This window comes from Homo sapiens, chromosome 5, assembly GCF_000001405.40.
Source record: "Homo sapiens chromosome 5, GRCh38.p14 Primary Assembly".
Taxonomy (NCBI): Eukaryota; Metazoa; Chordata; class Mammalia; order Primates; family Hominidae; genus Homo; species Homo sapiens.
Window position 1 is genome coordinate 110,599,320 of NC_000005.10, and position 26,701 is coordinate 110,626,020.

The window sequence follows — 26,701 nt, forward strand, 5'->3', positions numbered from 1 at the left end:
ATATTAACCTTAAATGTTAATAGGCTAAATGTCCCAATTAAAAGACACCGACTAGAAAACTGGATAAAGAGTCAAGATCCATCAGTGTGCTGTATTCACGAGACCCATCTCACATGCAAAGACACACATAGGCTCAAAATAAAGGAATGGAGGAACATTTACCAAGCAAATGGAAAGCAAAAATGCAGGGATTGCAATCCTAGTCTCTGATGAAACAGACTTTAAGCCAACAAAGATAAAAAAAGACAAAGAATGGCATTACATAATGGTAAAGGGATCCATGCAACAAGAAGAGCTATCTTAAACATATATGCACCCAATATACAGGAGCCCTCAGATTCATAAAGCAAGTTCTTAGACACCTACAAAGAGATATAGACTCCCACACAATAATAGTGGGAGACTTTAATACCCCACTGTCAATATTAGACAGATCAACGAGACAGGAAATTAACAAGGATATTCAGGAATTGAACTCAGCTCTGGACCAAGTGGACCTAATAGACATCTACAAAACTCTCCACCACAAATCAACAGAATATACACTCTTCTCAGCACCACATCACACCTATTCTAAAATCGACCACATAATTGGAAGTAAAATGCTCTTCAGCAAATGAAAAGAACGGAAATCATAACAGTCTCTCAGACCACAGTGCAATCAAACTAGAACTCAGGATTAAGAAACTCACTGAAAACCACAAAACTACATGAAAACTCAACAACCTGCTCCTGGATGACTACTGTGTAAATGATGAAATTAAGGCAGAAACAAATAAGTTCTTTGAAACCAGTGACAACAAAGGAACAATGTACCAGAATCTCTGGGACACAGCTAAAGCAGTTTTAAAAGGGAAATTTATAGTACTAAATGCCCACATCAGAAAGCGGGGAAGATCTAAAATCAACACCCTAACATCACAGTTAAAAGAAGTAGAGAAGCAAGAATAAATAAATTCAAAAGCGAGCAGAGGCAAGAAATAACTAAGATCAGAGCAGAACTGAAGGAGACAGAGACACAAAAAGTCCTTCAAAAAAATCAATGAATCCAGGAGCTGGTTTTTGGAAAAGAATAACAAAATAGATAGAACGCTAGCCAGACTATTACAGAAGAAAAGAGAGAAGAATCAAATACATGCAATAAAAAATGATAAAGGGGACATCACCACTGATCCCACAGAAATACAAACTACCATCAGAGAATACTATAAACACCTTTATGCAAATAAACTAGAAAACCTAGAAGAAATGGATAAATTCCTGGACCCATACACCCTCCCAAGACTAAATCAGGAAGAAGTTGGATCTCTGAAGGGACAAATAACAAGTTCTGAAATTGAGGCAGTAATAGCCTACCAACCAAAAAAAAAGACCAGAACCAGATGGAATCACAGCCGAATTCTACCAGAGGTACAAAGAGGAGCTGGTACCATTCCTTCTGAAACTATTCCAAACAATAGAAAAATGGGGACTCCTCCCTAACATATTTTATGAGGCCAGCATCATCCTGATAGCAAAACTTGGCAGAGACACAACAAAAAAAGGTTTCAGGACAATATCCCTGATGAACACCGATGTGAAAATCCTCAGTAAAACACTAGCAAACCAAAGCTGGCAGCACATAAAAAGCTGATCCACCACGATCAAGTCAGCTTCATCCCTGAGATGCAAGGCTGGTTCAACATATGCAAATCAATAAACATAATCCATCATATGAACAGAACCAATGACAAAAGCCACATGATTATCTCAATAGATGCAGAAAAGGCCTTTGATAAAATTCAACACCCTTAATGCTAAAAGCACTCAATAAACTGGGTATTGATGAACATATCTCAAAACAATAAGAGCCATCAGTAACAAACTCATAGCCAATATCATACTGAATAGGCAAAAGCTAGAAGTATTCCCTTCGACAACTGGCACCAAAGATGCCCTCTTTTACCACTCCTATTCAACATAGTATTGGAAGTTCTGGCCAGGGAAATCAGGCAAGAGAAAGAAATGAAGGGCATTCAAATAGGAATAGAGGAAGTCAACTTCTCTCTGTTTGCAGATGACATGATTGCATATTTAGAAAACCCCACTGGCTCAGCCCAAAAACTCCTCAAGCTGATAAACAACTTCAGCAAAATCTCAGAATATAAAATTAATTTGCAAAAATCACAAGCATTCCTATACACCAATGATAGACAGCACAAATCATGAATGTACTCCCATTCACAACTGCTACAAAGAAAATAAAATACCTAGGAATCAAACTTAAAAAGGATGTGAAGGACCTCTTCAAGGAGAACTACAAACCACTGCTCAAGGAAATAAGAGAGGACACAAACAAATGGAAAAACATTCCATGCTCAGGGATAGGCAGAATCAATATCATAAAAATGGCAATACTGCCCAAATTAATTTATAGATTCAATACTATTCCCATCAAGCTACCACTGACTTTCCTCACAGAACTATAAAAAACTACATTAAATTTCATATGGAACCAAAAAAGAGTTTGTATAGCCAAGAAAATCCTAAGCAAAGAGAACAAAGCTGGAGGCATCACGCTACCTGACTTCAAACTATACTACAAGGCTATAGTAACCACAACAGCATGGTACTGGTACCAAAACAGATATATAAACCAGTGGAACAGAACAGAGGCTTCAGAAATAACACAACACACTTACAATCATCTGATCTTCGACAAACCTGACAAAAACAAGCAATGGGGAAAGGATTTCCTATTTAATAAATGGTGCTGGGAAAACTGGCTAGCCGTATGCAGAAAAGTGAAACTGGACCCCTTACTTAAACCTTATACAAAAATTAACTCAAGATGAGTTAAAGACTTAAATGGAAGATCTAAAACCACAAAAACCCTAGAAGAAAACCTAAGCAATACCATTCAGGACACAGGCATGGGCAAAGACTTCATGACTAAAACACCGAAAGCAATGGCAACAAAAGCCAAAATTGACAAATGGGATCTAATTAAACTAAAGAGCTTCTGCACGGCAAAAGAAACTATCATCAGAGTGAACAGGCAACCTACAGAATGGAAGAAAATTTTTTCAATCTATCTTTCTGACAAAGGTCTAATATCCAGAATCTACAAGGAACTGGAACAAATTTACAAGAAAAAAAAACCCATCAACAAGTGGGCAAAGGATATGAACAGACACTATTTAAAAGAAAACATTTATGTGGCCAAAACAAGCATATGAAAAAAAGCTCATCATCACTGGTCAAAAGAGAAGTATAAGTCAAAACCACAATGAGATACTATCTCATACCACTTAGAATGGCGATCATTAAAAAGTCAGGAAACAACAGATGCTGGAGAGGATCTGGAGAAATAGGAATGCTTTTACACTGTTGGTGGGAGTGTAAATTAGTTTAACCATTGTGGAAGACAGTGTGGAGATTCCTCAAGGATCTAGAACCAGAAATACCATTTGACCCAGCAATTACATTACTGGGTATATACCCAAAGGATTATAAATCATTCTACTATAAACACATGCACACGTATGTTTATTGCAGCACTATTCACAATAGCGAAGAGTTGGAACCAACCCAAATGCCCATCAATAATTGACTGGATAAAGAAAATGTGGCACATATACACCATGGAATACTATAAAGCCATAATAAGGAATGAGTTCATGTCCTTTGTGGGGACATGGATGAAGCTGGAAACCATCATTCTTAGCAAACTCACATAGGAACAGAAAACCAAACATTGCATGTTCTCACTCATAAGTGGGAGTTGAACAATGGGAACCCATGGACACAGGGAGGGGAATATCACACACCCGGGCCTGTCAGGGGTTGGGGGCAAGGGAAGGGAGAGCATTAGGACAAATACCTAATGCATGAGGGGCTTAAATTGAAGAAGATGGGTTTTAAAACCACCACGGCACATGTATACCTATGTAACAAGCCTGCAAGTTCTACACATGTATCCCAGAACTTAAAGTATAATAATACATAAATTTAAAAATATCAGACTGTTGAGGAGGAAAAAAATGTGAGTTTTGTGAGTATCCACAGAAACGTGCAATCCCATCATCATAAGATTATGCCAGAGTACAGGGGGTCATGACCAAAGGGAGGCCAAGAGGTTTCTGGGAGTAAAGATTCTTCCCATGGAGGGCCTTTTCTGGACCTACCACTAGAAGTGAGGAAAAACTAACCTACATAGCCAGACAAGAATTGAAGGCCAAAATTGTAGATGAGTCTGTTTAGTGGTGGTTTAAAAATCATGTATTGAGCTGCTATGTAGGAAAATTTCTGACATTCTGAATAACTAAGATTGTGAACAGCAAAAGAAATGAGTACCTTCATTTATCTTCACTTTATTAATAATATAAACATGGAAGAAATATAATTTTTGTACTTAAGAATAAAGATCTGTTTAAAATTGGCACCAATAAAAAAATAAAAGCTTGAAAAGTGGGAAAAGGTCACACTAATTACACTCAGAAGCTGGGTTTCAATCTATTGATTAAGCCAAAAATATATTGAAGGCAATTTAAAAATAGTGAGCAAGTTTTTGAGAATGAAATGTGTATCTATTTCTAAAGTCTTACTATTTAAAATTATACTCAATCATAATTTCCCCCAAATCAGTGAATTATGGTTTTGGCTAAAGACAATATCTTACTTCTTTAAATCCTTCCAAAATCTTGCAATTATATCTGAAATTTAATGATTTATTTAATTACATTATAAATCCACTATCATAATTGCTTACCTATTATGTATTATTATGCTAGATGCTGGGTTACTAGAAATATAATTCAGACATGATTCTTCAGTATCAATTATCTCAGCATTTAATGGAAGTGAGAATCACATACACAATAGACTATAATAATATATAAATTGCAATTATTTTTCACAATAAATCTGTAAAGTTTTTTTCAACCACAAAAGACTACTTTGAGTTAACATTGTCCCCATAGTACTCTTGGAAAAATCAAAATGTTTTATTCTATTATCTCCCATAAATACAGTAGCAAAATGACCTTTAGTCCTGAGACATAAGACAGCTACTATTTGATGGACTATAAGATGTCAGGTGTGAATATTATACTAGAATATTTGAGTGAAGTAATTGTAGAGAAATCCTCTGGGCAGGAAAGGAGCAAGAGGGAAACAGTAAATGCCTAGAGAAAATGGAGGAAAGAAGATAAATCCTATGGGGAACAAAATAAAAATAAAGAGGAAATAAACTTCATATACACCACCCAGGTTTGCCTAAATCCATCTTTTGTTTTCAAGGAATATAATTTGAATCATCAGTCAACTGAATCTAACTTTTATTTCAGTTGTTTTAAAATTATTGATAAAAATTTTCTGGCTGGGCGCAGTGGTTCACGAATGCAATCCCAGCACTTTGGAAGGCAAACGTGGTGGATCACTTGAGGTCAGGAGTTTGAGACCAGCCTGGCCAACATGGCAAAACCCCAGCTCTACTAAAAATACAAAACTTAGCCAGGCATGGTGGCGAGTGCCTGTAGTCCCAGCTACTCAGGAGGCTGAGGCAGGAGAAAGGCTTGAAGCAGAAGAGGAGGTTACAGTGAGCAGGGATCACGCCACTGCACCGCAGCCTGGGTGACAGAGTGACACCTGGCCTCAAAAAATAAATCATGCTATATTCTTCCAAAATTTGTAAAATTTAAAATTAGTTGCTATTTCTAAATATTAACTTTGAGTAGAATGCTTATTACTATATGTAGACAGTGACACTTAAAAATATTACTCATCAAAGTAAAAAACAATCTACTTACAGTTCTCTGACATTTTTGAAGAGAAATATTCCAAAAGACTTAAAATACTTGTTTCCTTTAATTCTGGAGGTACTGATTTGTCCAAGTATAAAATATTTTTTTGTGAACTTTTACAGTGACAGAAACCAATTAAAGCAGTTTTTCGCAAATCAGAAGTGGCTGCATACAAGCAGATTTCTGCAAGAATTACTGTATATATGTAGACTACATTCCAGGCCCAGGAAAAATCATCTACCTTGCAACTTTCTTCCTGAAATGAGAAAATAGATATTTGATCATCAAAGTATATCTTTGCATATCAATAACTACACAGTGTACTTATAATAATTGTTAAAAGACCATAATAAACTAATATATCTAAATGTGTTCATTAAAAAATGGGTTTACCATGAGTAGACTGCATAAAATACAGTTCAAAGAATAAAAAATATAGATAGCTAATAATTATATATAGAACAACTTTGCAATTTACTTAGCAGTCAATGGAATGTAAATTAATTCAATGAGATACTATTTTCCATATCATATTCAAAAGGAACCTTTTGATATACAACTCCATTCTAGTGTGTGACACTTTCATTTATTGTTCATAGGAATCCAAGAAAGTTATTAATATATCTTATGGAGAATAATTTGGACATCTGTCCCAAAAACTCTGAAAGAAACTTCACAGTCTTTCACTTGGTAATTTAATTTTATTAGCCTACTCTAAAGAAACAGAAGTGTTGATAGAGATTTTATGTATGAGAATAACAATTCAACATTACTTATAATTAACTGTGAACAATTAGAAACAAATTTAATAACCAACAATACAGAAATGTTTCAATAAATGAACTTACCCCAACCAAAATATAAATTTTAATATTATGTAATGAAAATGAAAAATGTTTATGATAAATGGTAACTGTGAATTTGCTTTTATATTTAATTAAATTTATTATTATAAAGTTATGCATACTATATGCGCTAATACGATATACAATTTAAATAGTGGCAAAAATAAAATCTGTTTCTCTTCGGTTCTCTTTTCACATATAAATTAGCAATGTTACCTGATTTTGAACAGACATAATGCTTGAAACAAAATCTCTCACTACGTCCATTAAAGCTTTCAAGCAGGCCATGTTTAATTTGGCAGCCTCCCCAAGGACCAGTAAAGCCAGTACTGAATCCAACCTGAAAATTTTATGGACGAAAGGATAAAGATTTTAATGGAAAATAATAATAATAATCAACTTTTAATGTGAAAAAATGAAATAGGTCAGAGGAAATGCATGTCTGCATTACCAGATACATTTATTTTCAATAAAGATTAGTATTGCTTCTCATTATGGTAAAAATATGCAAAGAAGAGACACATTTTGGTAATATGTTTGAGTTCAGAGTAGTGCTCTGACGAATCTGAGTAATAAATATCACATATAATCACATTTCTTCATAGATCCTGAACAACAAGCAATCAGGGGCTCTGGTTCTAGAGTACCCCCAAAAACTCACAATAGGTTTTAATGTTTAACCTCTTGCAACTGATTCCACAAGGTGAATTTCAAGAGAGTGTTTTCTTCTCAAAACACAGCAATTTTTTAAAAACGGCCTTCTTCTAAGATACTCCAAAGATTCAACACTCTTTGATTTTGGAAAAAGTAAAATTTCTCAAAATAAAATTTATATTTCACATGAATGAAAGACTAGTTTTTTTTAATATTATAAAAACTGGGAAATCATACAAGAATTTGTTAGTTATAAATGTACATATATTTTGAAGGTTTTGAAAATTACATATTTGTGATACTTTTACTAAATGAAAAATAGTTTGAAAGAGAACTAATAAGAGAACAAATTAAAAATTACTTTGGTCATAGCTGTTTATTGCCTTGATTTGTAGACCATTAATAAATTTAAAAGTTAGTATATTTTACAAGATTATTTGAATTTCACAACTGTGATATTTCAGGCCCATAAGTTCAAGGTCATCATCATTTTCTAAATCAGACCATTCTTATTATGAAAATTAAAGACAATTCTTCATATTAAATAGGGCTTTACAGAGGTCAATGTGCTTTCACATAAATTATTTCATTTGATTTGAAAAACAATTTTTGACACATTTAAGATTTTTCAAGACCTTTTTTCATACTAGAAAACTGAGACATAAATAGGTCAGAGGGACTTGTCCAAGTTCCCTTTTTAAGCTAGATTAGTTGTAACTCAAGTTTTCTCCCACCAAGAAGTATTTTCTGTCTTGCAATTCTGCTTTTCTAAACCATTACATAAATGTCAATATTTAACCTTAGTGTGGCAGGTGCTGCCTATTGCCTACCTAATACTATTTGTCTCCTTTTCTAATGGAACATGAATTTTGTTCAAAATGGCAATATGCTCAATTAAGTTAGCCCCCTCAAGATGGAATTCTCTGTATCTTGATTGGAGTAGTGATTACATGAGTGTATACATTTGCCCAAGGTCATAGACCTGTGTACATTAATGTATGAAGTTCATTGTATCTAATTTATATTTCAGTAAGTTTGATTTAAAATTGACTGCCTAGACTCCCTTGAAGCTTGGAATAGCCATACAGTGCAGATTGGTTAATGAGCTAGAAAAGGAAGCATATTATGAAGACTTCCAGGTAAGCTATTATTTTTCTGGTTAAGAAAAAATTTTAAAATTAAATAACAGGTGTTATTTTTCTCCTTTGCGCATCCTCTTCCTCCTGCTTGTAATGCATATATTCCATGATACCATAAGGCACAGCAGCCTTCTTTCAACAAGGAGGATAAAAATCACCTGCTATACATGACAGAAAAGGAAGCTAGAAGAAGCTTGGACCTTGAAGATTTCCTTAAGTACTCACATCAGCACTGCACTACTTGTCATGTGCAATAAAGAAAGCTATTTGGTTATGCAATTGTAGTCAGGTTTCTGCCAAATAAGACAAAATCCTAATTGATGCACTTAACATGATGCTTATGAACATGAACTTTAGAGTTGGAAACATCAAGATGAAATCTTAGCTCTGCCACTAATTAGGCATATGTTATAGGGCAATTTATGTACCCTACCTCAGTCTTAATTTACTTGTCTATAAAGAAAATACAGCAAAACTCACTTTTTAGAGATTATTGTGAGATTTGAATGAAATACTCTATGTAAAATGACAAGGTTCAGAATGCTAAATTGAATTCCAAACATACTATTTCTTTGACATAAAAAAGATATGAGTTTGATAATGTCTTCATTAAAGTCATAGAGTGACTGGAAGGAGAAGTCTATCCAGATGACCACCAAGATGGAGAATAAGTCATTCCCCAGACTACTTATCATTTATACTTCATATTACGGTCAATTAAAAGAGAGGATACTCATAGAGTTCGTAAAACTTCTTTTCCCCTGAATATATTTCATAATCAGAAGGTTTTGATTCTTCTTTTCTCTTTCAAGTCTGGAAAATTGTAGCTAACCTAGGATAGTCTCATTGAACTATGGATTGAAAAAGATCCATCAGTGTTAGCCACCTACGGTAGAGAAATGCTTCACCAGCAACACACTATTTTCAATTAATGCTGCTGATCACAAAATTATCTGTGAATGAAAATGCTTTCGTCAAAAACAGAAACATCAATACTTATAAACTGGAGTTTGTCGAAAACAAAAGTAAAATTGAAAATCAATGCACATAGAAAGGAATTCAAATTGGATTAGGCTAGAAATTTTCATACAGCACTAGCTTCTTTGTGAACTCATTATAATTCAGAAAGTCTCAAGTATCAGCATATTGACTTGGTTTTACATTGCCATGAAATTAAAGTTGTACAAAATAATATGTAACTATTATAGATTTGCTCTAATTTTGTAAATAAAGAAACTGAGCCAGAGTTTTACTGGCTTGTCTAAAATAACAATATATACATACACACATGCACACATTTATAGAAGTTAGGAACATCAGCATTTAAAAGTTTTCCTAGGTTCTTCTTACTCCTCTATATCCATTTCCTCAATTAGTGGATTTTAATTTTTAAATGGAATTAAAATGTCTCTAAGTAGCAACCCTTGCCAACTTATTTCAACATTGCGACAAATATTCCAGAAAGCATTGACAATGTCAAAAATCCACATGATCCCGAAAACAGAAAGAGACATCACTAATAATAGCAACTTAAAGGGAATTTCCATAAACCATAAAGTTGATAAAGCTGAAAGCAATAAGGAGCACCCACATGCCACTTCTTGAAACACAGCAGCCTTGTTTTCCCCAAAAAAAGTAAAAGAAAAAACTTTTTTTAAAAATAATAATCTCTACTGTTTACCCTATTTTGCATAGAATCAGAGAAAGTGCAGCCAATCCTTTATCTTAAGGTACTGATTTTTTTTTTAAGTAGTGAGAGTATTATTTGAGTTCATTCTCATCTCTCCATATTTTTTCAGAGATGATAACATCCTGGTAATGAAAAGGGTAGTATACAGTGTCTATAGGCATGTGGGATGGGAGAAGGTGGGAAGAGGGATGATAAAATTGGAATACAGAAGTGCATTTTTTCCTCACAGGTAAACTATCCAAGAGTAAGGAGAACACAGGAAGCTGCCTGATAATTTTACACATTGAGTGTTGTAATTTTTACCAACTTTGTTATGAATGCTGTGAACACAAACCTCTTATTTAAAAATACAGTTTTTATATATTTCTCCTGGTTCTAGAATAAGTAACTGGAAAATGAAGAAGAGGGAACTATATAAGACTAAGGAAAATAGATTACAGCAAAGGCTAAAGAGAGTATCAGTCTCAGTACTCAGAGAGGGTCATAATTCTGAAAATGATTTCTTACAGGAACCAGAAGTTATTTTTACAAGACATTTATGCATCTTTAATAAAGCCCAGGAATAATAAACCACAAAGAAAAGCCTTGATGCCGAGATGAAAGGTAGTAGAGTAAGGTAGGAGATTGCAAAGAAATTAAAATGTAAAAATATAATTAAAATCCATAGTTGAGGAAGTTAACTACAGAAATAACAGAGAAAAGTCTTTCATAATTTAGAGGAAAATGCAGAAAGCATACCTATTCCTATCTAATTACAGAAGGAAGGAACAAGGAAGGAAGGAAGGAAGGGAGGGAGGGAAAAAGAAAGGAAGGAAGGGAGGAAGGGAGGAAGGGAGGAAGGTGGGTGGGTGAAGGGAGGGAGAAAAATTTATAGTTATGAAGTAAATGGGGCCCAACTAAAGAAAAATATTTCTAATAACAAAAAGTCCAAAATTTAATGCAAGTATTCATGAGAAATACATGGGTTTTCCCACCATAATGTAAAAAATAAAATAAAAATAAATAAAAACCCCTAAGCACAGAGAGGCAGAAGTTGGGAACACATATGAACTATGAGTAGTCAATACAAGACCTTGAAAAAATGTAGACCAGCAGCCATAGTATTTGTGCAGAGCTTCTCAAAGTGAAGTTTCTCTCTAGGTAAAGCACAGGATTTGCCTCAATAGGCTCCTAACATGGACAAGAAAGGGTGCCAGTTAACTCCTGCCTACTAAATCACAAAGATGTTCCTAAAAAATTCTGGACTGAAAATTAAACATATAAAAACAAGAGGACTGACGACTTCGAACATCTCATCATAACTGTGTTAGGAAACAACATAGCAACATTTAGAAATTTGAAGGGGGAATTAAACAAAAAATAAACACTGTTATCATAGAAGTCTATTACCAGATAAAATGTACATCATACTTTTTAGAGAAAAAAGAAATGGTGATAAATGTTATAGCCAGCCAAGGTTCGTATATAATCTTGGCCTTACCTAAGTAATCATAAAACATACTTAGAAATTTATTCAAGCTAAGAAAGAAATTAATAGTATTGAACAGTTTAAGAAAGGAAAATCCTAGTGTTAAATGGCTGCAGGTGAGTAGAAGAAAAATAGGTAAGTTTTAATAAACAAAAATAATTTTATAAATATGACCAAATAATTAAATGCAGATATATAAATAATTATTTAAGGAGAAGACAGAACATCTGAAATAATTACTTAACTATAATGTTATCAGAACTCAAGATTATATTAACAGACTAGGAAGGGGAGAATTAGTGTAAATAAATTTGTCTCAGTTGTTACTGCACATGGAGAAGAGGGCAGTTAGTATTTCATTCTTGATTTTTACTGCTTAGGGAAACTATTTTAAAGAATAAATTTACCTTGCCATTGCCTGATTTTTGTTACTCAGAAAAGATGGATGACAAAAATGTAGGCTTTAGCCTGTCTGTTAAAAGGCTTTTTCTCCTGCTTACAGGACTTCATTCTTTGAGTTCCAGGGAAGCTGGTGTGGGAGAGTGAAGGGATGGAGCCTCAGACAAGCAATGACTGCCCTCTCATCAGGGAAGGCAGAGATGGGGCACTAACTGTTTCCCTCCACCCAGACCTATCAGGCGTTTCTGGCTGTTGATTGGCTGGTGGTAATTAATCCTACCAGCAGAATCTTTCAGTCATCATTTTTGTTTTTATTTTTTTCAATATAATGGCAATTTATGAGACACTGATTGGGGCTGCAGCTTCCGTATCACATAAAACAGTTCTTACTGAATAATTTTAAGCTGAAGAGTGTTATAGTCACAGTTATGCTATAGCCCTGGCAGCATAGTGTATGACAGATTGTTGAGGGGACGAACGCAAAGCAAGGAGACAAGTTAAAAAGCTACAATCGTCAAGAGACAATAAGAGCCCAAACCAAGGTTATGACATTGGGAACAGAGAGCAGGGGAACAGTTTCGAAGTGTAATTAATGTACATACAACACCGTCAGATCCTGAATTGGATGGAGAAAGTGAGATGGAGAAGATAAGATGTCTGATTTGGTTAGCTGGAGGAAAGGACACGACGACGTGTACTGAGGTAGAAATTCAAGAGGCAGGAGCCTGACTGGGGGAAAAATTAGTTCAAATATGAACTGGCAGGACATGTAGTATCCAGGGAAGATCTACAGTCTAACAGATGTTTTTCATATTACTTATCTCATTTAAATTTTTCAAAAGCTCTTTGAGGTTGCTGTTATCTCGATATAACTGCTAAACAGACCCTGGGGTTCATAGGGGTTAAGCAACATTCAAAATTACACAGGTAGCAAAAGACAAGACTAAAATTCATGTCTTCTGGTTTCAGGTTGCATTGCTTTTTCGCTGTATGATAATGTAGCAGCATATATAGTGGGTATTTACCCTTGATACAGACTAAGTTATAATTGGCTCCAGGGATCAAAGGATCAATAAGAAATCCAAGAAATGAATCAAGAAGCATCAAGGAAATAAACAAACAACGAAAACCTACATTGACATTTCAGTTCATAAGAAATGAAGGAGTACTGATGCAAACTTTTGTTGGAATGCTCTAGGTTAGACCATCACATGGACATCATAATTAGTAGGATCAAGGATATAAATAATGTGGATATCAGTGATCTAGCTGAAAAGGAAGTGCCTTGCCGCCCATACAGTTAATTCCTTGTTTCATTCATTTCGATGCAAACACAAACAGTATGTCTGGAAAACACTTGCCATGTTCAAGACAGTTTTAAATTGTCAAGCTTTTTTTTGGAATACACTTATGGAGCATATTAAATCAGTTATTTTGTGTTGGAAGATATAATTTTACGTCATACTGCTCGAATGAAATGCCATACTGCCTTTCTCAGCAGTCTTCATTGGCTAATAATTCAATTATAAACACAATTCATTATTTTCATGTTAGATTAGAAAGTCTTTTGCGTTGACTTGAGCTATCTCCCCAGAGCAAATAGTGCCGTTTATAAAAGGCCAAACCACAGGGTGGAGCATTGAGAGTATGAAGCATCATATAAAATTTAACTGCGTTAAGTGGAAATCTGCCTTCCAGCAAGCTGCTTATCTCCAGCTATGGGCAGATAAAGGCCAATGCATGGCAGCTGGGAGGGGACTCCTGCAGTCCCTTTTTCTTTACTTCATTGGCTTTTATAATTTATTGTCTTCAGTGTATTCTTTCCCCAGTTTTTCCCTGTCCCCCAGCGAGGCTGCTCTAATTCTGTGATTGCCTTCCTTGAGCCCTTTTGTGGATCCTGAACCTGCTGTTTTCCAAGCTCAGCTGAAACCATTTGCTTCTATTTGTTTCTTTTTGTACTGTAGGATCTTTATAAAAGGGGTTACTAGAAGTCATGCAGGGAGATACATGATGAATTATCTACTGACCAATAGCATCAGAAATGGGCATATGAGTACATTTCAATTTCATGGGCACAAGCACAAGCCATTTTTGCCACTATAAATAAAATTTCTTCTGATATTTCAGTTGAATGGTCTCTCTTTGCTTTTAAATCTCGGAACATTTGTTCAACATTATGTTACTTTCCTGAAATGTACGGCAAATGAAATTGCTAAAGTTACTCCTGCTAATGGTCACTGGCATTGAACTTTAGGTGTTAAACCAAAGGTGTCTTCCACCAAGTGTCACAATTTTAAGACTATTTAGTCCAGCAAATCCTGATGAAGTCTTAATGCATCATCAGGGCCTGGTGCCTCAATATTTCTTTTTCATTCTGAATACATGCAGTTCATTTTCTTAATTTTTTGCATGTACCCAGTAGTATCTTAGGAGTACATAAGACCAATATTAAAGATTCTCTAGAAATATAAAATCATTTCTGGTTTTATTTTGGTAATTATATTACAGTGTATATTGTTTATCTGGAGTTATGGCCTCTTGAAACCTATACAGGCCTTTATATAAATAAATATTTTGTAAGGAGAAAAGTTGATTTTAAAATATTTGGTATAATGTTATTATTAACAGAATAGTTAATCAAATTGCTAACCTAAAAACACAAATTATTCTTTTAATGTCAATAGTTTTTGTTTGCTAGAGCCAACTAATCTTTTTTAAAAAAAAGATTAAATCTTTTCCTTAAAATAAAAAAAGTAACTATATAAAACAGAATCAAAACTATTTGGCAGTACTGTTTAAAGCAATTATTGTTTTCCTTTCTATTATGAGCAGTCATTGTATTTTTCACTTTACTCTTCTGTTCATTGAGCATTGTCTAAACACTGCTATCCCCTTCTTCACTTGATAATTTCCAAAATATCCTCCCAGAAAAAGTCAGGATTCAGTGACAGGCTGTCTCAAAGCAGTTATCTGCTTAACAATGCAACTAGAATGACAGTTGAATGATGCATTGGAGAGAGTGCTATATCGAAACTCTTAAAATCTGGTTCCACTCATCAATAAGCCTAATAAACTTGGCCTCAGTTTCTTTATTTTTAAAATAAGAAGAGTTTTGTATTGTCTCTAATGCCCTACATTTATAAAATACTAAGTATTTAAAAAAACTGGTTCATTAATGTTTGCAACCTTAAACACAAATCATTAGTAAGTTAAATTAAATAGACGTGGATGCAATACAGCAAAATCTAAAAATCGGTTAAAGAAAGAATTGAATTCCACCATTCGATATTCTTAATCAGCTACATTTACTGTTTCTGCAATCATTTATACTTTTTATCTGGTAATTATTAGAGTACTTTTTAAATAAATTTGACCAAGTCACACAATATTTATTTTTAGATGTTAAAATACAATTTCAGTTATGTTCTAAATCCAGTTAGAGTTTTCCAAGGGCTTACGTAGTTCTAGTTGTTTGTCATTTTGAAAAAGAAATTAAATATTTGAATCTCCTACAACTTACTTTCTATCTGAAAGAATCACCACAACTTCCAGAATAACCTAATTTGCACCAATGAGAACCTCTAAATTTTGTTTTTAGGAGCTCTGTATTAAAATATACTAAGTAAAATTATATTAAGTGCTATTTATAGTAAATATCTATTTGCATTTTAGTTTCATATTTATAAATACTATTCTTTATTTTTAAAATGTAAAAAATATTGCAATCTTTGTCAAACTGCAATACTCAGTAGGTGTCTCCCATCACACTGTGAGACAGAACAAATTATTGATGAACTCTAATCTAAAGTGTTTTTAGGGAAATTAGGTAAACTTTAAGCCATCCTCCAAAATTCTTTACTTAATCTGGAATCCCACAAACTTCCAAATACAAGTTAGAAAATAACTTTTGTTCATAAAGAATGTTGCAGACTTTTAGAAGGGTCTACAGTTGATTCTGAGGGACTTAGAATTTACATATACAAAGGCCTTTGGTGTAGAATGGGCTGCCAGAGACTGAAAACCAGCAACTAATTAAATAAATATATGTGGCAATTGCATTTTCAACTTGTTATGGCATTACAAGTTATTATTATTTTTATATTCATTGAAAAATAATTCAAAACTGTGATCCTCTTTAAATATTGGAAAAGAGTGCTCTCTGATCAGTTTCCTCAGAAATACTCCTCAACACAAAAAAGGTCATACATGGCAAGCCTACAACTGACATTATCCTCAATGGTGAAAAGTTGAAAGCATCTCTCTAAAATCAGGAACAAGACAAGAATGTTCACTCTCACCACTTTTATGTAACATAATACTAAAAGGCCTAGCCAGAGCAATTAGGCAAGAAAAAGAAAAAAAAGTCATCTAAACAGGAACGGAAACAATAAAACTATCTTTGTTTGCTGACCAAATGATCTTATATATAGAAAACCCTAAAATGTTTATAAAAGCTAACCAAAAGACTGTTAGACTTTAAATGAATTCAGTAAAATTGAAATTTTCAGGTGATAAAATCAACATATTAAAATCAATAGCACTGCTATATACTAATGACAGAATATCTGAAGAAGATATTATGAAAACAATCTCATTTACAATAGCAAAAAATAAAAAAAATAAAGCCTAAGCAATTAAGTGGGAAGATATTCCATGTTCATGGATAGGAAAAATTAATATTGATAAAATGTCCATACTACCCAAAGTAATTTACAGATTCAATGCAATTCCTATCAAAATTTTAATGTTATTCTTCACAAAAACAGACAAAAAATTTAAAATTTGTATGAAACCACAAAATTCCCTGAATATCCAAAGCAATCCTGAGCAAAAAGAAAAAAAGCTGGAAACATTGCAAAACTGGATTTTAAAGTGTATTACAAAGCTATAGTAATCAAAACAGCACGGCAATTGCATACAGACACATTTGCCAAATGGACAGAATAGAAAGACCAGAAGTAAATCCATGCATTTATGGTCAATTCATTTTTGACAGTTACCAAGAATACACAATAGAGAAAGAATAATCTCTTCAATACATGGTATTGGGAGAACTGAACATCCACAAGCAGAATTAAATTAGCCCCTTCTCTCACACTGTATAGAAAAGTTAACTCAAAATGGATTAAAGTCTACTTTAATTATAAAATGAAACATTAACAAAGTAAAGAGACAACCCACATATTTAAAGAAAATATGTGCAAACCATACATTTTTAACCCATATATTTAAAGAAAATATGTGAAAACCATACATTTGGTAAAGAGTTAATATATAAAATATAGAAGGAACTGAAACAACTTAATAACAAGAAAACAAATAGCCCAATGAAAAAATGGGTAAAGGACCTAAACAGACATTTCTCAAAAGAAGACATACTAATGGCCAACAGACATATGAAAATGTGCTCAACATCACTAATCATAAGGGAAAGGCAAAGTAAAACCACAATGACATTATCACCTCACACCTGTTAGAATGGCTATTATCAAAAAGATGAAAGATAACAGATGTTGATGAGGATGTTCAGAAAAGGGAATCCTTTTACATTATTGATGTAATAACAGTATGGAGATTCCTTGAAAATTGAAAATAGAACTACCATATGATCTAACAATCCCACTTCTATGTACATATCCCAAAAAAGTGAAATCAGTATGTTGAAGAGATAACTGAACTACGTTCATTGCAGCATTATTCACAATAGCCAAGATGTGTAATCAACCTACGTGTCACACTGACTGATGAATAAATAAAGTGTGGTATGTATACACAATGGAATACTATCCTGTCTTTAAGAAGAAGGAAGTTCTGTCATTCATAAAAACATGAATGGACATCGAGGCATTATGCTAAATGAAATAAGCATAGTACAGAAAAATAAATACTGCATAACCTCACTTCTATGTGGAATCTATAAAAGCCGAACTTGCAGAACTAGGTAGTAGAATGGTATAAGGCTTGGGATGGGGAGTAAGGAAGATGGGCAAAAGAGGAGATGCCAGTCAAAGAGTGCAAAGTTTCAGTTAGACAGGAGGAATGAGTTCTAGTGATCTATTGTGCAGCATTGTGACTATGGTAAAAAAAATATATTTTGAAATTGCTAATAGAGTAAATTTTAATTGTTCTTACCACCAAAAAATGATAAGGATGTGAGGTGATGGATATGTTAATAAGCTTGACTTACTCATTCCACAAGATATACATATATCCTAACATATCATTATACCCCATAAATATATACAATTATTATCTGTCAATTTAAAAAATCTTTCCTCCACTGAACTCATGCTGAAACTATGACTCTTCTTTTTCTCATCTTAAATTAACATATGTACAGGAGGAAACTAATATTTGTCAGTCAAGATTTATTTTTGGCTGGGAGCAGTGGCTCACTCCTGTAATCCCAGAACTTTGGGAGGCCGAGGTAGGCAGATCACTTGAACTCAGAAGTTGGAGACCGGAGACCAGGCTAGGCAACATGGCAAGACCCTGTCTCTACTAAAAAATCAACAAACAAACAAACAAACAAACAAACAAACAAAACACCTACAAAAATAGCCAGTGTGGTGGTGTATGCCTGTGGTGCCAGCTACTTGGGAGGCTGAGCTGGGAGGATCACTTGAGCCCCAGGGATGGAGGTTGCAGTAAGCGGAGATCACGGCACTGCAACACTGCATTCCAGCCTGGGTGACAGAGTGAGACCAAAAAAAATTTTTTTTTAAGATTCATTTTTGTTATACATTACAAGTAAGGCATAAAGAAATACAGTATCAGTATATTTTCTCTAACAATATATTGTGTTTCACTGCTTTTGTTTAACAACTTGGAATATAAAGGCTGTTTGCAATGCAGGCATAAACTTTTTGTTAATAAAAAACTGCATTTAATAAAAAAAAAACTATGCAGTGTATGCGTGCACATCTAGCAAAGCAGAAAAAGAGAGAAACGATGTATTGATGAAATGAATTAATACTAAACATGTAAATTGCCATTGCCTTTGGAACTGAGATTATAAATTTGTTTCATAGTCAACTGAGGTGTGATTAACATTTAGGTACAAGGGTTATTTAACATTTAAGCACAAAGATTTCTCCATGAGTTACTTTGGATTTATAGGATCACTCTTACCAGCATTTCTTTTGAAGCTGTGTCTTATGGAAGACGAGATGTTCAAGCACGTTATTCAACTGAGGACTGTTATTCTGAACACAAGACCAAGCAGCAACACAGTGCCAGAGCAGGTGGTTAATTTCATATCCTCCCTGATTAAATTGCAAATGTTTCAGGAATTAAAATATAAAAATATATGAGAAAGAGTACTCTGACTTGAACAAACATGAAAATAAATTTTAAATATACAAATGAAAATGCATATTCTCTTACACTTTATATTTCACCAAGTGGAGCAATTTACATAAGCATATTTTTGAAGTACATACAGTTAACCCGAACCTAATGTATGTATTTTTCACATGGGTCTCTTGTGTTCAATGATATCAGCTCTACAATACAGCAAAAATTCTGGATCACATAAGGGATAGCTATTAGACACAATTGTGGTTCGTAGATTCTATGTGACTTAGTTCTCCCTGACACTTGAGAAAGAAGGAATGGGGAAAGTTTGAACAAAATGCTAACAGCAAATTATGTTTTAAAATGTGGATTTCTACTTTAAGGACCAAAATGTATGCCTAGCAAGACATCGTCAATGTCTGTTAAGTAACTGTTCTTAAAGCCTAAAAATTCAGATAACAAATAAGCTGTTGTTTAGTTTTTCCTTAGAGTGCTTCCCAACAGTTTTATATATTTAATTGGTCTACTAAAGTAATTGGTAGAAAATGATGACATAGCACTCTCTGAATTTTTGCCAACAGTGAAGATTCAAATACACATCCTGTGATAGGTACTCAAATTGTTAACTTAGTTGATATTTTGTGATTTTTATGTTAAAATGAAACACTTAGAATCTAAAGGGCTTCATAATTCTTATTTATTATATAAAACAACATCAGGACTACAATTTCAAGATAATTTTTATGTTGAGTACTTTTCAGATAGAAAGCAAGAAGTTCATACATAAATTTTAAGCTAAGATATTTTAAGTTTCTAATAAAGTGTTTAGTTAAGTCCCATAGTTGTGTATTTATCTACTTTATGTCAGGAATTCCGTTAAGATTCTGGAGATAAAGACATGAGGAAGACAACATCTGTACAAAGCTACTGATTCTGGGGAACAATAATTCAGAAAAGCAAATGAAAACAATTCAGTGTTGACAGTGTTAGAACACACCACAGAAAAGCACTATTCTAAAATAATGTAAAGCATTAGTCTGAGACATACTGACTTCAGTAAGTCCACATATAACTCAATTTTCTGCTTTATGGTAGGGTCTACCCCAAAACTGGAACCCATATAAATGAAATTCTTTTCTCAAATTGCTCTAGTTGTCTCAGCCTGGATGCCTGACAATCCTCAGATTGCAAACTTATTTTGAATAAATAGGTAAATAAATATGTTTGACAAGTTAATGGGTGCAGCACACCAAGATGGCACATGTATACATATGTAACAAACCTGCATGTTGTGCACATGTACCCTAGAACTTAAAGCATAATATTAAAAAAATAAAAATAAAACAAGAATAAAAAAAAACTTCGGAGTGACTCGAATGGTTAATTTATAATAAATATTATTTTAATCATAGATATTGCAGGACTACATAAACTATTCAATTAGGTCAACCATTCTTGCATTAATGTATTTATGTACCATCATCAGAGAAAATTCAGAAAGCATTTGGTAAAGAAAAAAATCAGGATTTAGACAACGAACAAGATTTGAGTTTTATCTTCAATTTTATATTATGCCAATTTTACACATCGTGGAGAAATAAAAAGCATCCTCTCATGTCTGGGATTGATTTGACATACTATTACAAGCTGGTCTGACACAGCCAGGTTATTTTGATCTCCTATTGGACATAAACTCACAAGATAGCAATTTTGGACAATATTACTCTGAGACCATAAGAAATAAACAAAGCCACTTGACAATTTGTTTCTAAGCACAGATATAAACAAAGTCACTCTGCCACCCACAAAATACATAATCACAGAATTGCCCCAACTTTTTGACAGCATCAAACCTCTAGAGAGAACCCTTACTTCCTTAGACTCTTCCCAAGATCATCCAAATAAAGTCCAAATCCTCTAGTAGATTCCTTCTAACACTCTCTTATTAAGACATCCCATAGTTCCTTGTGGTATGTCTCTCATATCTCTCTCTCTCTCTCTCTCTCTCTCTCTCTCTCTCTCTCTCTCTCTCTCTCTCTCTCTCTCCTCTCTCCTCTCTCTCTCTCCTCCTCTCTCTCTCTCTCTCTCTCCCTCTCTCGGCAACAAGTAATAAACCCAATATGTCTAATTGCAGATGTGCTCCTAGTGGCCTTTGGCAGTAGAACATTGACATCATCAAGAGGAAAGGAACCTGCCACACCTGCGAATTTTCCAGATAGGTAGGGCTTATTAGTTAGTCTCAGGAATTTTATGTATTTCAAGCGCTTTTTTTTTTTTTTTTTTTTTTGAGACAGAGTCTTGTTCTGTTACCCAGGCTGGAGTGTGATGGCGTGATCTTGGCTCACTGCAACCTCCGCCTCCTGGGTTCAGGCAATTCTCCTGTCTCAGCCTGCCAAGTAGCTGGGATTACAGGTGCCTGCCACCACACCTCGGTAATTTTTATATTTTTAGTACAGACAGGGTTTCACCATTTTGGTCAGTCTGGTCTCGAACTCCTGACCTCAAGTGATGCACCCGCCTCTGCCTCCCAAAGTGCTGGGATTACAGGCATGAGCCACCATGCCCGGCCCATCAAGCAATCTTCAGCAAGAAACATTTTTTCAAAAAATAAAAAATAAATTTATCAAACTTCAATGAATTAATGTAATGATGATGACTATGTGATTTAATACAATCATCACATATATCATCAGTGCAGAAGACCAAGAGTGAGCAATGTTGCTTACTCTTGAGTTCTGTGCCTTTACCCTAAATCAGTCCTGCTCAAGGTGTGGTTGGCAGATAACTGCCATTTGCAAACTGTTAATTAGAGCACAAAAAATGAAAAATACGTATTTAGACACTTTCATAACAATTTGAAAAATAATTATATATATTCAGTCTATTAAAAATTAAAGCTTGTGTTTTTTGGTCTTTTCTATTTTAGTTTTCAGTAATTTGTCGTCATTATTATTATATTTTACAAAATTATCCATCTGTAATGGTTTGGAAATTTAAAAATAAATTAGGAGAGATCTTTTACCACAGATAGTTTGAAAAGCACTGAGCACTGCCTTAAATGACACCCAGAGAACTTTTTTCCCCTCCCTTTCTTCCTTCTTTCTCTCCTTCCCTCCCTCTCTTTGTTCTCTCCCTCCTTACTTCCCTTCCTTCCTTTCTTTTTTGGCTTTTATAACCACTTCCCACAGTTCTTTCGTCTCCCTCCCTTGCTGTCCAGCTTTGGGCTATCATTTGTAGCTGGAACAATGCCTACTTTGAGAAGCCCACCTACAAAAGTGTTGTTAATCTACAGTTGGCTGAAAATTCAGATAACAACACCAGTTTAGATTTTATGCAAATTTAAGTACATAAATTATGAGTGTCTGACTAGGCTCTCTTTTATAATAGAAATGAGCTTTGAAGCATGGGCTCTATTTTGGCTGCTCAGGGACAGCTTTCTGGGTTTCATGTAGTTTTCAGTCATTTTGGGGGATGATTGACATTGCCATGAAAGGATCTCCCAATACAAAGTGTTACCTGGATAATTTGACGTGAATCATAGGATAATGCTCCTAATTTTAAGGAGTTTATGTCTCATTCTAATAATTCCTAGTAACCATTTACAATTACAGGACAGCACAAAATGTCCCAAACTTAGGTAATGCCTTTGGCTTATCAAAAAGTATTACAGAATGAGATTGCTAATCATACTAGAATGTAAACTCTGTCTTTGCTAGTTTTCAGAGAACTATTTGTACTTCAGAACAGATGAAACTATTTAATAAAAGGTCCACTGCATTGTAGCAGGGTTTAAATCTACCTTCTCCAAAGAACTATTATTACTACCAAGTGACAACTGTGCTTAGAAAATTTAGCTTTTGTTCTTGCGATAGTTTACTGAGAATGATGATTTCCAATTTCATCCATGTCCCTACAAAGGACATGAACTCATCATTTTTTATGGCTGCATAGTATTCCATGGTGTATATGTGCCACATTTTCTTAATCCAGTCTATCATTGTTGGACATTTGGGTTGGTTCCAAGTCTTTGCTATCGTGAATAATGCCGCAATAAACATACGTGTGCATGTGTCTTTATAGCAGCATGATTTACAGTCCTTTGGGTATATACCCAGTAATGGGATGGCTGGGTCAAATGGTATTTCTAGTTCTAGATCCCTGAGGAATTGCCACACTGACTTCCACAATGGTTGAACAATGAGAACACATGGACACAGGAAGGGGAACATCACACTCTGGGGAATGTTGTGGGGTGTGGGGAGGGGGGAGGGATAGCATTGGGAGATATACCTAATGCTAGATGACGAGTTAGTGGGTGCAGCACACCAGCATGGCACATGTATACATATGTAACTAACCTGCACATTGTGCACATGTACCCTAAAACTTAAAGTATAATAATAAATAAATAAATAAATAAATAAATAAAAAGAAAATTTAGCTTTGCTAGTGAGCAAAGGACAGAGTGGAAAACTCAATCCAGCGTTCTGGCTCTGCTATCCAAAGAGCTAATTAAGTGTACCATTTGTCAAAGTCAATGGAAACCCTGTGTCTGGATCACTTAAAAAGACATTAAAAAGAGAAATGGGGTCCAACAGCAGACGAAAGGAAATTTCCTATTCTTAAGTGGAACCCATGCTCATATGGCATGTATCCTAATGTATCGTAATATCCTATAAAACTTTCAATGCAATTTTGGTAGCACTTTGACAACAAATTAAGTAATTATGCCTTTATTTCAATGCATATAGGAACACTAAAAATCAAATACTTTCAAGTGGCCAAAGTATAGTGCTATGGACCTTTTAGCTTTATCAAATGATAAGGGCTACAGGAATAAATTCACAAATCCTCTGCTATAATATACTAAAACAATCATAAGGAAAGGAGATGAGATTGATGCAAATGTATCTATTTCCATTTCTATCACTTTTATGTCTTTTTTCCTCTTTCCTTTCCCAGGTGAGAGAGATGGGTATTGAATGAGTAAATAGTCAACTGACCTGGAAAAGCTAGCTGTACTGGAGAAACTGGGCTGAAACTGGGGAACTTTAAGATATGCAGTCCAGCACTGACTGAGTGCTGATTAGCCAAATCAGTAATTTTAGCAGCACTGTGGCTATGCTATCCTATATTTATAGTCTTTATATTACGAGATAAGAGGAGGAGAAAAAGAAGGTCAATAAACCTGATAGGTCAAACTCTGTTATAATCCCCTTACAGGATCACATAGATAAAGCTGAAATAGAATTTAGAAGAGATTGAATCTAAGCTTTGTTCTACAAAGTGGAAAAAGGCACAGAGAGATTTAGTGACTTGTCCCACTGTAAGCTGATATGTCCCTTTCATGTATTGACATTTTTGCCCCTTCTAATTCAGGCTGAGCTGTACAGCAGTAAGCTTCCATTTGCTTGCTGTGTGTGTGTGCACCAAGAGTGACAAAATGGATTCATTCTTAAAGAGAATCAGAATCAACATTGACAGTTGCCTACCTCACAACCAGACTATTCACATTGCCAAGATTTCATGGAATCCTATTTGTTTAAAGGAAGAACATTCCAATCACAACAGTAAGCCAACATACTTATATCCTTAGATGAAAATATTATAGGTCACTGTTTAGGGTAAAGTGAGGTCCTAAATATATATTTTCAGTAATTATTATTCATGTTTGCATGGCATTTAATAATTTTATAAAGCACATGCTGGTTTTTTTTTCTGCAATCTTTATAACAACCCTGTAAAAGAGTTAGGGCAGACTGATGATGGTGATGATGATGATGATGACTATGACAATAATGACGACTTTTTAAAGATATGCAAATGGAAGTTTGGCGAGATTGGTGGGCCTCTCGTAGATCACAGAACCAGTTCATAAGCATGTCTGTTCTCTTCATGATCAGTGCTCTTTCTGTTGCTCGATATCTTTCATTATCTATTTACTGCTAAAACATTTTTTATACTTAAAAACAGATCCCTTTCTCACATGAGGTAATTTGTGCTCATTAGTAATTATAACCAGAAGGCTCAATTTACTCAGTAAATGTCACTTGTTATATAAATGGTGAACTAGTAATTTGCCAAAGAGAAAACACTTAGGCCCAGAAAGGTTACAAATAGATGTGTTGGAATTTTTTTCTTATATATTTAATTTATAGCCAATTTTAGAAAGGGCTTATAGGAAGCATGGGAAAATTATAAGGTAACACATAACATTATCTAAAAACAGACTCTTCCTCAAATTTCCTTAGGTGTTTCAACTCGCATAATGTTAAACGTATTTTTCCTTTTTTAGAAGTTGTTAAGAAAAACAAATTTTCTATTTATAAACTGTAAAATAATAAATAAGTTTAACAAAAAAATAAAAGAAGTTTTTGAAATGCTTACTGGTCTTTTTTGGAAAATATGTGAGGAAAGAAGAAGGTATTATGGCATTACCCCATTTAAAGTAGTAGAGTTATATATTGATACCTCCTACTCATCCTATTAACTACTCTCCAGGAACTGTGCATATGGTTGCATGAAATTCGTATCTTTGCTGTTCACCCCTCCTCCACAGCTAAACTCATCATTCCTCAATGTCTACTGTATTGATAAGCACCATTACTTAATCATAGTAATGATATCTGATGCATCAGGCAACAGGATATACCCACCATACCAGATTACTCACCATATCAGAATCTGTGTTCTCATATCTTTTCTTATCTTCCACAGGTCTAAAAATGGATTCAGAACGGAGTTCTCTTTTACCTATAATTTCCGAGGCTTTCAGGATGAATTGCACATTTGAAAAGATGTTTGGATACTTGTGATATGATGCTCCAGAGAAAGAAAGTGCTATTGTAAGAAAAATCATCTGTGAGAAATAATTTATTAATATTTTGCACTGTGTTTCATTTGTCTTTTAGCTATTAAACTATAATTAAATTCAGTACTTAGATGCAGAAACTGCTAGTTTCCTATTTAAGATTTATAATGTTATGTATGCCCCCTGGTGGTATAATAGAATACTAGACGGTAAATAATTTATACGTAAGAGTTTATATAATTCAGGACAGCAATTTCATAATCATTGAATGCCCAATTAAATATAGTTACTGTTCAACAATGCTTGGAAACTTCCAGATGAAAATAAATCAAGCTATAATAGATGCTGTATTCATAATGGATACTTTGACATTGTAATTCTACAAAGAAATCAATGTCATTGATTCTAGACAAACATTCTCCAGTTTTATTCCTTCTCAAGATGTTATTATTTACAACAATATGTTGTAAATAATAAAAACAAGATGTTATTATTTACAACAATAAGATAATTTAACATAACACCACATTATATTTAACAGAATCATCTCAGTGCTGCTCTTTGTATAAACTTTTAGACAAACTTTGGGTTTTAGTCCATCCACATAATGGAAAAA

General features: G+C 34.1%; 1 protein-coding gene across 23 annotated transcripts in view; it reads right to left on the bottom strand.

The window, feature by feature from the left end:
• The window catches only part of TMEM232 (transmembrane protein 232), a 351,524-nt gene that overhangs the window by 211,889 nt on the left and 112,934 nt on the right, over nt 1-26,701 (bottom strand). For all 23 annotated transcript variants that reach the window (XR_001742182.2, XR_001742181.2, XR_007058620.1 and 20 more), the window contains 4 exons: nt 25,948-26,114; nt 19,110-19,243; nt 6,845-6,968; nt 5,790-6,039 (listed from right to left, as the gene is read on the bottom strand). Coding sequence is in view for 20 of the 23 variants with exons in the window: in XM_011543565.4 (XP_011541867.1) it covers nt 5,790-6,039; nt 6,845-6,968; nt 19,110-19,243; nt 25,948-26,114 (675 nt within the window). In the remaining 3 variants the exon portion in view is untranslated. The remainder of the gene's footprint in view (nt 1-5,789; nt 6,040-6,844; nt 6,969-19,109; nt 19,244-25,947; nt 26,115-26,701) is intronic.